This window comes from Homo sapiens, chromosome X, assembly GCF_000001405.40.
Source record: "Homo sapiens chromosome X, GRCh38.p14 Primary Assembly".
Classification (NCBI taxonomy): domain Eukaryota; kingdom Metazoa; phylum Chordata; class Mammalia; order Primates; family Hominidae; genus Homo; species Homo sapiens.
In genome coordinates this window covers 91,870,200-91,888,638 of record NC_000023.11, presented here as the reverse complement: position 1 = coordinate 91,888,638, position 18,439 = coordinate 91,870,200, and the positions used below count along the sequence as shown (strand labels likewise).

The following is an 18,439-nucleotide window of genomic DNA, read 5'->3' as shown; positions in this document are numbered from 1 at the left end:
CCCAGGCTGGAGTGCAGTGGCGTGATCTAGGCTCACTGCAACCTCCCCCACAACCCCCGCCACTCAAGAGATTCTCCCATTTCAGCCTCACAAGTAGCTGAGACCACAGATATGCACCACCAAACCCGGCTAAGTTTTTGCATTTTTGATAGAGACAGGGTTTCAACCATGTTGCCCAGGCTGGTCTGAAACTCCTGAGCTCAAGCGATCCACCTGCCTCGGCCTCCCAAAGTGCTGGGATTACAGGCATGAGAGTTACTGCGCCTGGCCACTGAAAATTTTTTTAAAAGTCAACTGTATTCAAAAGATAGTAACATTTTATGAAGTAAATCAATATATAATTGGTACATATAAGGTTCTAGGATAAGGGATAAAGTACAAATATTTCTAGAAAATCTATTGGAATAGTTCATTTTCATTATTATGTCAATTTGACTACCTGAAATCTAATGAAATGTGATTTGTGATTTTTTTCACTTGACAAAAAAGTTTTATTATTAATTGGATATATTTGTGTATGTATGGATAATTAAATGTAATTAACTATTTCAAAAGGAACATTTAAAACAATTTCGGTTGCAAATATCTAGAATATAGGAAAATTAAAAGAGTTCTGAAAATTCTGGGAAATAATTATGTAACTAGGTTGTTCTAAGGGAACTTTTGGAAAATATTAGATGGTATTTTTTTAAAGTATAAAAGCTTTTTCATCAAGACTTGATATTTTTACTCAGGGGAGTTTAGTCTCATGGTGGAGATATGTAACATGCCTCTGTATTACACTATCAACTAATCAAGGTATGTTATTACATAAATTTGTCCAATCATACATCTATAAAAATAAACAATATGTTTAATAAATAAATCAGTCTTCAATACATGTAAAAAGTCCTGGATGTATAGTTTATAAAACAATAAGCATAATTCTATAATTTTAAAATGCACCACTTCAAAAAGTTATATAGCCTTCAAACAGAATTACTGTTATAAAGAACTCACTGCTCTAGCTTGAAATAAAAACAAATAATTTTAAAATTCTTCATCTAAAAGCTTTATACAATTTTCTAGATTTTTCTACAACAAATGTGTATCACATGTACAATAAAAATAGAAACCTATGGCTACTCTAGAATTTTAAAAGTCTACTCCTAATTCTAAATACATTAAACCAAAGATGTCATGTATGAACACGCACGATGTATGAAAAAATGCACTGTAGTTCTTTCTAAAAATACTAATTATATGCAAGAAATATAGCTTTGTATTATCACAGAATCTTTGAATATTCTAGGAAGCTAAGTCATATTTAAAATAAACACAAACTAAGCTTCATAAAAGCCAAGAAAATACGTTTATTACACAAAAGCACCTACAAGAAGCATTTATGGAATGTGGCTTAGATTTATATAAGATTACTCAAGGTCTGCTTGTCCTGTAGTGCTTCTGTTACACTCAGGCTGCACATCACATCTAGCTAGATATACAATTACAACATGGAATTCAACAGTGAGGAGTGCAGGTGACAAAACAGCAAAATGATGCAGTTAGTATTTCATGGTGAAATGACAAGGTTAGTAAATATTGATTGAATATAAACTCAACTTCTAAAAATTATTCTAAAGTATATATATATTTTCTTTTCTTTTCTTTTCTTTTTTTTTTTTTTTTGAGATGGAGTCTAGCTCTGTCGCCCAGGCTGGAGTGCAGTGGCGCCATCTTGGCTCACTGCAAGCTCCGCCTCCCGGGTTCATGCCATTCTCCTGCCTCAGCCTCCCGAGTAGCTGGGACTACAGGCGCCCGCCACCACGCCCAGCTAATTTTTTGTATTTTTAGTAGAGACGGGGTTTCACTGTGTTAGCCAGGATGGTCTCGATCTCCTGACCTTGTGATCCTCCCGCCTTGGCCTCCCAAAGTACTGGGAATACAGGCATGAGCCACCGCGCCCGGCCAAGTATATACATATTTTTATTCATAATGTGGACAGGGTGGTCAACAGAGAAAACAGACTTATACATGAAAGATGAATTAATGAATGAGATTAAAATTGTTTTATAATTTTTACATTTAAATCATTGAAAATAAAAAAGTGAGAAATATAATAGCTTAAATATCATATCATTAAAAATAAACTTGCATAATTAAAATAAAATGAGAATATATTTCAGTATTTTTTGTTTAATTTATGCACTATAGATTTTGATCAAATAATATTTCTTTGAGTGCTTGCAGGGGAGAAAGTATACAGTACACTGTAGCTCATCAGGTAAGCTACTTATAATTTAATGGACAAAGTTCACTACAAGTTCCTTTTATTTACTAGTTTTAAGATTTGCTATCTTTTTGTCTTTTCCTTTTCATGACTAGAATAAGAACCAGAGAGACCATCAAGGACATTTCATTGAGAATATTCCCGTAGTCGATGAATGACAACACAAAAGGTTGGAGATATCTGAGAACTTGCAAGGCAAACGTAATAATAATATCAATTAAATTAAAGATGCGACCAGGTCAACTGATAAGAAGGAATCAAGTAAGGAAATAAATATTTTTGTCCTCTGGCCTTTGTGGAAAACTAGTTTCAATGCCTTCCATGTTGTTCTCAAATAGAGATAATATTCTCTCAAACAAAAGCAAAGGATGGATCAAGAATAGTTACTAGTCAAAAGTAGAATTCATTTTCATCTATGGCCCAAATTTAAATACTGTTAAATCTCTGTACTATCATTGGCTTATATGGGTAAATATTTTAGCCCAAAGCAGAAGTCAGTTTAGAAGTTCCTTTCTCAGAGACGCTGCATTCTAAGAGATGGAGTCACAGCTTTAAAAATAAAGTTTCTATTTTAATCTTCTTCAAATACAGCACTCATAAAACCATTGAGGAATGCTTTTAAAGAAATTCTGGATAATTATTTCAAGGAATTTTCATCTTCATATATACAAAGGAGTGATTAGGACCTTTACTCATTACAGTTATGAAGGAAAGGTTCACTGAAATGGAAGAAAAACAAGGTATTCTCCCTTAGTTCAGTGTGTGCAGAAAAGGAAAGGAAAGGCCAGGCTAGTCATGACACAAGCAATAAAAATGCAAATGCATTTTTATAATAATTACATACACAAATGATCATGAAGCCATGACAGCTTATTATGGGACACTTCAACTTCTGATTCACTTTTCTGGGCTTCGTCATTTTATTCAAAATTAAATTGAGACTGTAGATTTTGGAAACCTCCACTCTAGGTATATCTTGCTACCTGCAGGGCACTGATTTTAGGAATATAATAAGTTGATTCAATTTTTACATTCCTTGGAATGATTTGAACTAAACTGAAATATTTATCAAGAATAAAAGGGGAGTAACTGCAAACTTGTTCTATGTGAATAACTTGTACAAGTGTGTATTTTAATTTCAAGCAACTTTTCTACAACAGTTGTTTAAGAGTATGTAATATAATATTGTAACTCACATGATATCTACCATAAGCAGTAAAAGTAGTTATACTCACAGTCATTATAATCAACTAAGTAATGTTTAAACAACCAGATAGCATGTACATTCATGGAACCTGACATATTGGAAATACAAGGGATTCTGTACGGAGTTAATGGGAACACTAAATTTTAACAGAAACTTGTTTAAAATATTACCTATATATTAAATATCCAAGAATTACACTAATTTGAAATACTGAACAGAGCATAAACCTTTTCTAAATACATTCACATCAAAGAACACTTCAAATAATACACTAACGTTAATGTACATACAAAACAGACCAAATCCTATTCACACTTTTAAAGGTAAAATGATACATAATTAACATTTGAATTAAAATTCAGGAAGCATATGCTATGTAATCATTATAAGGGTCCTTTGTACTCCCTTTTTATCCCAATAAACATGATTTTAAAAAATTCTGTTAGTACTGTTAGTAAGTCATAAATAGTTTAAGAATATAGCATAAAATTGGAACATGTCATTCTTTCCTCAATAAAATATAATGTACACAAAATATGAGGCATTTTCTCATTCGTGTAGGAAATGAGTTAGTTGACTTACTGTGAAAAGTGAATTCATTTTAAAGGAAAAATTACTCAAAGCAATGATGTATATTTAGTAATTTAATGCTAGAGAAATAAAACAGACTTATTTAAATAAGTTACTCTAGCAACCTCACATTTTTCTTAGGTAGTTTCAAAGTTGGGATAAAATCTTTTTGAAATCTCCTATCTCAATCGTTGTTTCCACCCTCATATGACTGGAATTATGTTTCGTAATATAAGAAATATCAATATACTTTTTTTCAAAATATCAGGGAGTATGAACTTTACATTCTCCTTTTGACAGATAAAAATAGAAAGGACCTCTTTCTTTGAAAATATTTATAGAAAAAGAAAACATTATTACAACAAAAATAACTTTTTTTCTTTTTTTTTTTTTTTTTTTTTTGAGACGGAGTCTTGCTTTGTCACCCACGCTGGAGTGCAACGGCACGATCTCGGCTCACTGCAACTTCCGCCTCCTGGGTTCAAGCAATTCTCCTGCCTCAGCCTCCCGAGTAGCTGGGATTACAGGCGCCCATTACCACGCCCGGCTAATTTTTGTATTTTTCAGAAGAGACGGGGTTTCGCCATGTTGGCCAGACTGGTCTTGAACTCCTGACCTCAGGTGATCCACCCACCTCGGCCTCCCAAAGTGCTGGGATTACAGGTGTGAGCCACCACACCCAGCCAAAAATAACTTTTTAATAATTAAAAGGAGTGGAACAGCATGAGTACAATCAACATAAAAACCTAGTAAAATTATTTTCTATCATTGAACATTTTTTTCTTTTTGAGACAGAGTCTTGCTCTGTCACCCAGGCTGGAGTGCAGTGGCGCCATCTCGGCTCACTGCAAGCTCCGCCTCCCGGGTTCACGCTATTCTCCTGCCTCAGCCTCCCGAGTAGCTGGGACTACAGGCGCCCGCCACCACGCCAGGCTAATTTTTTGTATTTTTAGTGGAGATGGGGTTTCACCGTGTTAGCCAGGATGGTCTCAATCTCCTGACCTCGTGATCCACCCGCCTCGGCCTCCCAAAGTGCTGGGATTACAGGCGTGAGCCACCGCGCCCGGCCCACTCAACTTTTAAGCAGAGTGGTGGGTAATAAAAATGATTTTCTCAGCAATATTATGTTAGTGAATATTTTCAAAACACTGAACCAGAGTGTTTTGGTTTTGTTTTTTGTTTGTTTGGGGTCTTAAAAATGTCTCTTGCCCTGGATACCTTTCAGAGAGTAGTTTGGCTAGTTCAGCTCACTTCCAAACTCCTGGAGATAATGTTTTAATTATTCAACAATCAGACAGGGCAAGTAATTGCATGTTTCATGACTGATATATTAACCATAAGTGTATACACCAAGACAGCCTTATATTACATCATGGCTGTTGATTCAGAGCAAACAGAGAAACAGCATGAGAGTACTCTGTTATTGTGCTGCACTGTCTCTTCCATAAATTTTAAATTTCCATTGCCAGATTACAGCTAAAGAAAGCACAAGGTTCACTAGGACATCATTTTTAAGATGATTTTTGCTTGCTTTTATAATGGGAAATCTAGATTACAAAATTAATGATCTTAGCCTAATTTTGAAATCACAATCATTGAAATTTTTTGGAAGGGGAATGGAATTTTGTTGTTCCTAGAAAGTTATATCTCACTGCAGATTTCAATAGTTGATGTCCTGGAATCAGTCTAGGACAAGAAAAATAACACGTTATCAAAATCAGATGGTTGTGTTCTAGGAGTTTCATTTGCCAAGCATGCTTCATGGTTAAAATTTGCATTACCAAAATATAAATGCAGAGTCAAAGTTACTGAATTTTACAATAGTGAATACCAATCCTATTCCAAGCTAACTCAGACTGCAATTATCATTTCAAATCCATGTATCATATCTACAGGATGGTTTCATGCATGAATTAGAACTGTCTAAAGTTTTCACCATTCATTCACCTCATTTCTGAAACTGAAAGACTATTCCAACTCAAATCACAGAAACTTGTAAGGTTTTTTGTTTGTTTGTTTGTTTTTTGGAAAATGATGTACCCCAAATACTTGTCTTAGACAGTGACTGGAAGACCTTCAAAAAATTCTACTTTCATTTTTATTCTCCTCTCTATTTTTTTAAAATGTATAGTCTTCACAATATTTAATGGGTGAATTGTATTAAGCAAGACTTGGTTTTGGCAGTTTATCTCTTTTATATGACATTGATCAAAAGTGATTTTAAAATAATTATTTATACTTATGGTTTCTCTAGTGTCATAACAACCAATTGCTATCTGCTTGTTTTGAAAGGTGTTAATAGAAGATAATGTGTAGCCTCATCCTCTCAAATTTCATGTTTTTAAAATTTCTACTACAATGTATACAAAAATGCCTTCCATAATACATGTAGAAACGTATGCCAAAGACGACCATTATATTCCCCAGGTATAGATGGCTTTATGCAATATATGTACTCCTATCTAATAAATGTTCCATATATTTTCAGAACATCCAAGTCAGAAAAACAACCTATAGAATGATCAAGGAGAATGAGAAATTATGAGAACTAGAAAGTATTTGATTCCCTTTATAAAACATAAAATTTCAGATGAATTCCCTTGTCTCTTATAGTCTACTAGAACATTTTATTTTCCACTTTCCTGTTTCTATTCAGACGAGTAATGAACTAAATGTAAATATTCCCCAAACCCTCATTTTGAAAATGCATTTCTCACTGTTTAAAATAAATTGGAATAATTCTGCCTTCTGCTAACAGTAATATTTTATTCCACTCTAAGTATTTCCTTAAGGAACAATGAATTTGTATTGTATTGGCTGTCACTTCTCCCATTTTGTATGATATTTCTTTAAAAAGAAGACACCTACTGCATTTGAATTTTTAAATACATAATTTCTTTTTCAGTGCTCACTTATTTTGCTAGCATTCTGCAACATCATTGAACACCCTAACATTAAACACAAATTGAAGAGCATATAGAAAAGGTAAAGAACATTGCAAATGTAGCACAAAATGTAAAGATTCAAATTATTTTTAGTATCATATTAGTCTGCCTAAGTTCACCAATTCATGTCTTGAAGATATTTAGTAATGAATATGAAACAACTGTGAACCAATAATAAAATATATAATTTATTTACTTTTTAAGCTGTGAAATAAATAAGTCATCTGCTAATTCAATGATTCTAAGATAGTCCTTTCAGTTAATAAAAACCTGATAACAACCAATAACTGATTCTCATTAGCATTTACTTTTTTGTATTTTGACTAATTCTTATGATTCAGAAAATGTCTCTTAGTTATATGATATAAAATGCGTCATGGAAAAAGGTTTATTATTTTTAATGACTTTTTAGGATTACAAAATATTTTTAAAAAAACAAAAAAGTGAGGATATTTGAAAAATACTTCAGTTTTTTGTTCTTCATCCATGCCCTCCTTGCTATGTGTTCATAAACTCAAGTAAAATCAGTCTAGCTCATAAAATATCTCTGTGCCTTCAAAAAGCACTGAAACCAGAACTTGCTTTATTAATTAACTTCATTAAATCTATTAAAAATGATGATCTACATATGTAATTCACAAACCCACTCTTTGTACACTTCTTAAAGAAAGTCACAAATTAAACCCAGGAAAAAATGTTATTATACCCAAATCATGTAGTGTTAGTCATAAAAGATACTTTTATGTTGAGAAACTTATCCAATAAGCAGAATAGCAATAAGAATTTGAAAATGAGAGTGCCCTTTTTAATGGTTAAATATAAACAAAAACACACCCTGTGGAGATGTTCGACATCTCTTAACGTTTGTTGCCCATCCCAGATCCACTAACTATGTAAAATATGGGATTCATCTAAACTGTAGAAATAACAACTGCAGCGTAAATTCTTTTAAAGTCTAACAGAAGCTCTCTATACAGACACTAGGGTTCTAGTTTACCTTTTGAAACAGCATTTAATTGTGTACCTACTGTAACAAAAATGCACCCACATCTGAATTAGTACCTTACGTTCATTGTGTGATTCAGAGAGAAAAGTTAATGTTATCGTATTATATAACTGCGCTTATGCTTGAATGACCTCCATTCTTAAACCCATTTCCAAAGTTATGGTAAACTATTTGCATTGCTATCTTGAATGCAGTAGCCTTCTTTAATATCTCGAACTTTTGGTGAAAGAAAATCAGTTTTGATTTTCACATTGCTACTATTTTGTTAAGCCTGAATAGGTGTTCAAAAGACTTTATTCCCTGAAACTAAGATTAATACTTTTTTAAGAGTTAACACAGACAAAATAATAAACTCAACATGTAGCATGACTTCGAGAAAAAAATGTGGGTAAATTCCATTGCTTGTCTTTTTAAAGGGAACAATTATATTTAAATCATTCAACATTTAAGAGTTTCTGGATAAATTTGTATTCATTTCTTCATGGAACACTGATAAAAGGCACTGGATAAACTCTTGCTTTCATAAATGTATTGGGTTTTAAGTTATTGTGCACAGATTTCTTGGGTCTTAACATGCCCACAGTTTTCTTTGTGCCTATTAGAGAAAGCAAACATTTTATTTTCCAAAAGTTATTATCTTTTAAGAATGTCTTCTGAAGGGCTCAAAATACCTTGCATAAATATGCAAATATTTAAATAGCTATCCAGAGACCTCATATATATTTCATTCTCTGGCTTAAAGATGAGAATGAGTAGGCTTTCATTTTTCTAATCCCATTCTTGTTATATTGTGTGACTGTAGATTTGATGCACCAAAATAATTTTGAGTTCCTAATCTGAAAACGACACTTTTCTTTATGAGGACCTGAAGGCCTGGTAGAGTATGGGGGGAATAACTTGGTGCTGAATTTCTGTGAACAGCCACAGATTTTCCCAAGTGAAGCTAGGCTTCTCAATATCATTAGTATTTAGAGCTATTTATCAGATTCTGAAAAGCTTTAATGTGATGTATCTAGCCCAGACTATTCTGATCCTCATGCACACAATGGTACTGAGGACAGTGCTACAACCCTTTGTGTTGAAGTTTTTTTCAATATATTCTCTAGCAAGAATTGTCATACTGCCATCTACAGACAAAATTGCCCCTACTATAATTATTATTCTGCATCCAATTTTCCTAAATCAGTAGTTATTTTGTTCTCATCTTCTACCAAACTTAATTGAATCCATATATCTATTGGGTACATCTGTAGAATATGATTGTTTTGATCCCTCTTTGAAGTCAATAGATTTTGTAAAGTTCTACATCAACTGAAAATAATAATAAAAAAATAGTTAGAAAGTTGTGTTAGAAACTTGGATACCTACCGGTCTGGTGTGTACGGACACAGGTACCTCGAAGGTCGTCACTGGATAGCCACAGTCAGAAACGCTGTAGGGATCTGAACTGCTTGAGGAACACTTGGAGATAGAGTCACAGGCCACAAAGGTGTTATCGAGAGGCAGTTCTTGGATGATGTGGTGCTTCGAATTCAGGGGAGTTTCAGGCTGAATTTGGAAGGCAGGCTGTGGAGAGGCAGATTTGTAGTGTCGGGCCAAATCAGGGCTGTCGGGCTTGAAAGTAGTAGGTGTAGTTACCCAATTGTACTTTCCCATTGTTTGCTCTTCTAGATCAATAGGAAGGTCTAGTGTGACTCTGTTTCCATCACTGTCAACATCATCTGCCTTAGTTTCTTCAATAGTGACAAAATTAAGCAGCAAGTTCTTAGGGGAATGCTTCTTCTTCTTTTTCTTTTTCTTCATCATTATCATCTGCCTGTTTTCTGGGTTTGGGGTAGCCCATTCAGAATTCTGCTTGTTTTTCTGAGCAGCCTTAAGGTGTGGTGCCTGGCGACATCTTACTACAGCAGTGATGAAAATAACTACAACGACAGTTATGGTGCCAGCAACAGCTGCAACCAGGATCTTGACATAGTCACTAGTTGGTGAGGATACATCAGCTATCTCAGTATTTGGGGTCACTGGTGCTTCAGTGCTTTTGCGCACCAGTTCATTAATCAGTGTAGCATTGGTCACCGACTCATTCACGAACAGATTGACAATTACAACACTGAAGAGAGAATCAGGCTGTCCTAAGTCATTAGCTTTGACCAACACTCTGTGTAAACCAAGGTCTGTAACATCACATTTCTCCATCAATGTTATGTTGCCTGTTTCTTGGTCGATTGCAAACAGATCTCTTGTGTTTCCTCCTACAATGCTGTAACGAACCTCTGCATTCATGCCAGTGTCATTGTCAACAGCAATTACCTGAAAGACCACTGTGCCTGGATTAGTGGACGGTAGAACCAATTCATAAGAACAGTTGGAAGGAGGGACAATGAAAACTGGTTTGTTGTCATTGACATCAACCACATTTATGGTTACTTTGGCACTTGAAGAACGTGATACTCTACCACCATCCTCAGCCTTTACATAGAAAGTGTAAGATTCTTGTTTTTCTCTATCAAATGAAATATTTGGTCGGATGACACCAGTTTGTGAATCAATGGTGAAGTCATCATTCTCATCTAAAATGGAGAGCGTAACTGCAGAATTGTCTCCATAATCAGGATCAGTTACAGTGATTAGTCCTACTGTACCATGCCTTGGAAGGTTTTCTGGGACATAGAAGTTGTATTCATTGTGAGTGAAAACTGGGCTATTGTCATTCTGATCAATAATGCTTACAAAGACTGTGACATTGCTGGTTAAGGGTGGTACCCCGTTATCTTTTGCCAGAATTGTGAATAAATATTTATCCTCTTTTTCTCTATCTAGTTTCTTCACTACAGTCAGCATGCCTGTACGACAATCCAGGCTGAATTCAGGTGGAGCATCAGGGCCTAGCAGGTAATTGATCTTAGCATTAGGCCCACTGTCTGCATCCATTGCACTTACTTTCGTCAACTGGATGCCAGGAGAGTTATTCTCAGGAATAGAAACAGTTACGAAAGACTGGGTGAAAACTGGAGCATTGTCATTTTCATCTTTCACTTTGATGAAGAGCATTGCTGACTGATTCAAAGGAGGTTTGCCAGCATCTGCAGCCAGTAATTTAATGGCATATTCTTTTGTGGACTCATAGTCAAGATATGCTGCAGTCTCCAGGAGGAACTGATTACTGAATACTGGCCTTAATCTGAAAGGGATTTCATGATCTGTGAAGCATGTCACCCTGCCATTATGGTCCGCATCCTTATCCGTCACAGTTATGAGAGCAATTTTGGTGTTGAGTGGAATATTTTCTGAAAGAACAACTGTGTCATTGACAGGATTGACGATGTATCTTATGTCAATGGATGGGACATTATCATTGACATCTGTAACATTTACCAGCACCATTGCTCTTGCTGGCATCAATCCACCATCACTTGCCAAAACCAGTAACTTGTGGTTTGGTGTTTCTTCCCTATCCAGTGGTTCTTTGATTGTGATAAGTCCAGTGGTGGCATTGAGGTGAAATAATCTCCTGGCAATGTTGGAGACTAGATTGCTGAAAGAGAAGTGGATCTTGGCATTTTCACCTATGTCAGCATCTGTGGCATGGAGCTGTGTCACTGAAGTGCCTACAGGAGCATTTTCTGGTATACTGACTTCAATCTCTGTCTCCTTAAAGACTGGGTGGTTGTCATTTGTATCAGTAACACTCACTTGCAAAATAGCAGTACTGGATCTTTGAGGAAAGCCACCATCTTCAACCTTTACTTTCATCACGTAGGTATCCTTCTCTTCCCTATCTAACTCCTTTTGAACAATCAGTTGTGGCATCTTGTCTCCTTCTGGTGTTTCAATGACATCGAGGCCAAAAATGTTTTGACTCTGGAAAACATGCAATGAAACAGAATTAACTTATGTTAATATAAATTAATATATTAATATTAATATGAATAATAAAATATAATTTAACTTATGTTAGCTTATCTAATGAGAACAATTTTCAGTTTCTTGAAGCCACATAAAATAATGGGATCAGTTCAGAAATAGGTGCCAGAAGACTTCAGTTCTAAGTCTCAACTCTGCCTATAACAAATATCGTGATTACAAACAAGTTACTTTACTTTTCTTGATATTTGTAAAATTAGAGAACTGTACTAGAAGATGTTCTGGGGACAGGAGGCTTCAGATTGTAGCATTTTATGGTAATATATGTAACTCATTTATGTGAGCTATTTAAGTTTTTTTAAATTATGTGAACTATTTCAGTTTTTTTAAATTAATTAATTTTTTATTTCATTTTTCCATAAGTTATTGGGGTTCAGGTGGTATTTGGTTACATGAGTAAATTCTTTAGTGGTGATTTGTGAGATTTTGGTGCACCCATCACTGGAGCAATATACACACCACCATATTTGTAGTTTTTTATCCCTCGCCACCTTCCTTCTCTTTCCCCGAAGTCCCCAATGTCCATCGTATCATTCTTATGCCTTTGCGTCCTCATAACTTAGCACCCATATATCAGTGAGAACACACAATGTTTGGTTTTCGAACTATTTAAGTTTTCAAAAGAAAAAAGTATATTTTAAAAAGAATTGTCACTAAATTTTTGCAAGATAAATGAAGCTGTAAGCGAATTATCCAAGATTATTCCAAATGAATTAAAATATTTTTTACTGTAGATTTCAGTTGCCTAAGATGCTTTTTCAGTACTAAAGTAAGCACCAAAATAAAAATATTCCTCCAAGACAACATCATAAGTATCATATCTAATAAATACAGCTAAAACCTTTAGCAGATGGAAAAAAAATACACAAACTGGTTAAAATATAAATTTGTATAAAATACAAAGAATTTCAATATTTCCCATAGGAACACACAGTTAAAATGAAATTATCTCAGAGATTAACAATGCAATGTTATTTTCTTACTGTTTTTTTTTTAACATGCAAGCACAATGAACTAAAATTCACAGGTCAAGACCTCAAATTGAAAAAGGTAGCTTCGGATAGGACCTATTTTCAATTCATGCCCACGAAGTCACAGTATGGGAATATTTAAAAAACAATCCCCTCGGCCGGGAGCGGTGGCTCACGCCTGTAATTCCAGCACTTTGGGAGGCCGAGGCGGGCGGATCACGAGGTCAGGAGATCGAGACCATCCTGGCTAACACGGGGAAACCCCGTCTCTACTTAAAAAATACAAAAAAAAAAAAATTAGCCTGGCGTGGTGGCGGGCGCCTGTGGTCCCAGCTGCTCAGGAGGCTGAGGCAGGAGAATGGCATGAACCCCAGAGGCGGAGCTTGCAGTGAGCCGAGATGGCGCCACTGCACTCCAGCCTGGGCGACAGAGTGAGACTCGTCTCAAAAAAAAAAAAAAAAAAAAAAAATCCCCTCCCTGTACTACAATAAGATGATCCCTACACACAAACGTAGTGATCTTGCCAGCTTACCGAGGAGAAATGAGAGAGGAAGATTCCTGTCCAGTGTTACTTGCAGCATTATGACAGAGATGAATGAGATAAAAAGGTACTGGAGGGTATGAAGAAAAGATCGGAGGAGGACTTTAAGATTCCTATTCATGGGTGATTTATGAACAGATATATACACACACACACACATACACATATGTACATCTAAATAATTTTTAATTCTCTACTACATTTTTAACATACATGTTCTGGACAAGTGGCATGGATTGGTTATTGATCTCTCATTTATGTGCTGTATCATAAAAGAACAGGATAAGATCTGAGGTTATAGTTTTGTCATACCACTGTCTAAAACAAGATCCTAAAAATTAGAACCTAATAAATAATACCAGGTTTTCAGAGACTGCTAGAATATATGATCAGTTTATAAATGTATTTCAATCACATTATCTTTAAAAAATTTACCTGTCTTATAATTGCCTATATATAGTCTTAAACAATATCCAAATGCATCTCATTTTTTCCTCTTATGAATTACTTGAAGATATTTCTGCAAACTTTCAGATTTTGGGGGGGTGCTGAGATTCACTTATACTTTTATTCAAATGCAGTGCCATAATATATCTTTGTGGAGGAATTAGATGTTTATTACAAAATTTAAGATGGCATTTCAGAAATATTAATTAAAATCATTAGTTTGTTCCAACGTTATTTAAAAAAAAATTTCACAAGAGCTAACCAAAGTATATTAGTTATTTTGTTTTTAATTCATACAATAAACGTGAGCATTCTATTCCTATTTTACTCAGAGCAATAATCAACCTGGCTTTTCCTTGATTATATAGTAAGAAAAACATTTTCATGTTATACGTATTTATATTTGAAAATTAGCAAGCAAAATCTATTATTTGATATACTGCATATTTTAAGAAAAAATAGAATTTCATGACAACATTGAATGTAAGTAAATACCATAACATACTATTATAATTTGATCTAAACAAATTTAGTGATTAATGATAATTTAATTTTTGTAATGATATTCCAAGAGGTTTTTAGGAAGGTTCAAATCCAAAATGTCTATTTATGGGTAGAAAAAATAGTTTCTAAATTGTACTTCATAAAATCCATGGCACTTAATACTATTCTTTTAATCCTTGACATTCCAATACTGAGTGGCTAATATAGTGAGAGCATTCTCCTAGATGCCAAGGTCATGGTGGTGAGTAAACATATTTTACTAATGTGATAAAAGGTAAGTTCTAGTTAAGGTGAAAGAAAAATCAATAACTATGGATTTAATGATGGTATTGACACTAACGGATTTACATTAAGAGAATCACTACATTTTTAATAAGAGCTATATGGGGAAATTGTAAGTTATTATTAGAGGTTGCATAAACAGAAACAAAGATAATATAATATAAAAAGAACAAGGAAAATGTTCCAAAGTTCTTAAGTTTCGGAGCCAATTATCCAATTTATGAATACAATACATCTGGGAAAACGAATATGTAAGTTTTAATTTTAAAATTTATGTATTTATGTTTGTGCATTTCTTGTTTATATATTTAGTTTTTACTTTTATGTGTTTGTCTGAATTTTGAGTTGGCCTTTGCTTTCCAAAGCAAATTAAGGCAAGCTTGTGTCAGATGAAAAATCCAAGATCAGCATACTCACTGTCTTTTAATTACTTTATGTGAAATGGCAATAATCTTAAAAATATATTTTTCTAATTCTCAAGGTGATAATGAAATGTACATATTAGTTAATGGATAATGTCACCATTGCTATTCTGTCTTTCACAACTACTCTGTTCAATATGATGGTAATTAGCCCCAAAGGAGCATTTAAATTTAGATTTAAATTAAATGAATTAGATTAATTTAAAACATCAGTTCCTACTTGCACTACCCATATTTTAAGTTCTCAACAGCTCCATGTGGCCAGTAGCTACTACGTTGGACACTGCAGATGTAGAACATTTTCATTATTGCACAAATTCTATTGAACTGTACTATCCTAAGACATCATGTTTTTCTTTAAAAAGAATCTATGATTAGCCAGGTGATTGCATGCATAACCCCCATTTTTCCAGATTTTTAGAGTTCTACAAAGACTTGCTGAGCAAACATATTTAAACTTAATATTGTCCACGGGATTTGAACAGGAGTTGCCCACAGGTTAAGACATAAATAATTTTCAACAAAATTTTGGTGAGATATCTAAGTTGACGTCAAAGTATAGTGCCAACATGAGCTTACTATTATTACTGAATGATGATTCCAAGACTGTTTTCTGTTCAATCTCCTTCAGGAATAAAGAATAACTAACACATGAATCCAACATCAGTCCTACCCCAAATGTAGTTAGTTCAACTGAGCTCACATCCACATGAGCAATTAAAAAACTGAAGCCTTTTGCCATATGTTTGACCATGACAGGAGGACAGTGAGAAAAATGAAAAAGAAGATAAAACGTATGGCTCCTTAATTCATCATCTCCCTATCTTCAGCACCGACACATCCTTATATACAAAAAAGTTAAAAGTTTGGAAGAATTGACCTGCACTACCCTGAATTCCAAATCCACTTAAAATTATTTATTTCTGTGTATAGGGGCAAACTCTCTATGTGTATATCTCTAGGTACGCCTTCATATACTAAATAATGTGAGTGTAGGGTAATATGGCATGAAGCTTTGTTTAAATGTATAATCTCTAAAGATATAGCACCTGGCATATGTGAACACATTCAGAAAACATTTGTTAGATAAATAAATGCATGAATTAAAGTAGTGGCTCTTATTTTAAAAGATAAAAGAAGAGCAGAATTTGGTTGTTCTTAATTCTCAGTCTGTATAGGCACAGGAATACTCTATAATTGTTGACTTGGGTTTTTTTTTTTGTCTTTTATTTTAATAAAACTGTCCAGAAAACAATTTCAAAATTATTTCCTGAAACAACTACTTCTTTTCTGTTCAAAAATGTAATAAAAGCCAAAGTGTCAATTGCTAGTAAAATTTTACAACCTAGTTGTAAAACTTGATTTTCAGAATAAATTATGACAAATACTAAGTGTGGTATGTAGCCAGTGCATTATTGAAAAGATGCAAAACCCTACATCTGTCAAACATGGATACGTGTGATCAACAAAGAAAACAAAAATCAGGGAAGAAAATAATATATAAGAACTGCATGCAAGAATAATTTACACATGATATGTTGATTTTTGGATTCTGATATCTGAAATGGCATTGATCTCTAGTATACAAAAGTGCCAATTCAGGTTGAGGTCATGAAAAATGCATGGACTTTCTAATAACCTCATCCTAATAACCTTCATTTGTGAGTGATATTTCTTCCTAAATTCAAAAATAAACTTTAGGATTGCAAACCCAAGACAAAAACTGCTGAAATAAGCAAGATAAAGCCCTTCTGAGACTTTAATTCTTTGTGGAGATTTGTAAAATCAAAAAAGAGAAAGTTGACGTTGGATGTGAAATTTGCAAGAGAAGTTTTTTTTTTCTTTTAAAAAATTGATAAAGGATATTCATTGCCAAATAGAGAGCCATATATTTTGTCTATTGTCCTGGGAAAGAATTAACGAGACAACTGGAGAAAACTTTAACATTTTTGACACATGCATGTGCAAGACACCACTTCATTGCCTATTGGAAGGCAATAAATAACACAGCACTTTTAGAGCTATAAATCTGGTACAGTTGCCCAGAAAATGCATACAGTGCCAGTAAGTACTAAAAATAGTTCCAAAGAGATCTAGTTCTAAAACTGATTAAAAGCCATTTACTCTTTAGATCGAGGAATGCTGGTGGAAAGACTCAAAATTTATTTCTGACTTTCACCACTGCTTGATTTATCAATAACTAACCTGATATTTAATTTTTTTTCACTTTTCTCTTAGTATTACTGATACATCTTTGGGCCACAGGAATGCAAGAACATAGATTCAAATGGATAACACTACAATAACATGGCTGTTTTAGAAAACATTAAGGAAATACTTTAATACACATTGAATATTCTCAATACAGATATAATAAGTATTATCATAAATTCACTTTCATTCCACTAAAAATTCTTGGTTTGCTATAGGCTGTCTAAAACTATTAGGGGGAAAAGCAACTGTTGCTTATATATTCAATACTGTGGTACCTTTTAGAGTCTATGCACTACTTCTAGAACATTTATTTCAGAATTCATTTGTAGCCTTGTCAAGGGAAATACAATAAAAAACGGATTACAATAAAATGTCCCAAGCCGTTAGTCACATATCTGCCGATAACCCTAATGTCACCAAGTCCCTCGCTACTTTAAAGTCATACTAAGGAAAGGAGAGTGATGTGTAAGAAAACACCATCTCTCTTTGGGTAAGAAAACACCATCTCCCTTTGGGTAAGAAAACACCATCTCTCTTTGGGTAAGAAAACACCATCTCTCTTTGGGTAAGAAAACACCATCTCCCTTTGGGTAAGAAAACACTATGTCTCTTAGGAAGAAATAAGTTTACATTAAAATATTAATAATAGTATTGTTAATTTTGATAAAGCCACATACAAGGTTTAAGATATTATACATGTATTTTTTTTCCCACTAGGACTTAGCAAAACCTATTTTGTAGAACAGTACTATTCATAGCATGTGGTTCTTTTTTTTAAATGTTAGTCCAAAGAATAGGAATTTCTGTCATTGATTTTTTTTTCCCTATTGTGTCAGATTTCAAAATTAAGAACAGTCTTTGTTTTTCCCTTTTGACAAAAGAGTAGGCACTCAGGAAGATTCTTGAAAATGATAGAATTTTTGTACTAAGTTCTGTTTTAATGTGTACTTCCCCCAACTTTGTTTTTATAAGAAAATATATAATAAATACCATTTCATTTTTTCTGGCCTTGTGTTCACTATCACTACTCTGGTTTCTCCATCTGAGAGAACAATCAGATGATTTTATTACGTTATTTGGAATGTGCACTCAGATTGAAATGTCTTAAAGTGTTAATTTAAATTCACAATGTTTTAA

General features: G+C 33.9%; 1 protein-coding gene across 15 annotated transcripts in view; it reads right to left on the bottom strand.

Moving 5' to 3' along the window:
* The window catches only part of PCDH11X (protocadherin 11 X-linked), an 843,856-nt gene that overhangs the window by 734,592 nt on the left and 90,825 nt on the right, over positions 1 to 18,439 (bottom strand). For 14 of the 15 annotated variants that reach the window (XM_011530911.3, NM_032968.5, XM_011530910.1 and 11 more), the window contains one exon: positions 9,366 to 11,858. In XM_011530911.3, coding sequence (XP_011529213.1) covers positions 9,366 to 11,858 — 2,493 coding nt within the window. Of the gene's footprint in view, positions 1 to 1,332; positions 5,733 to 9,365; positions 11,859 to 18,439 lie in introns of those variants that run through there. The other variant, XM_047441995.1, reaches the window with a different exon arrangement.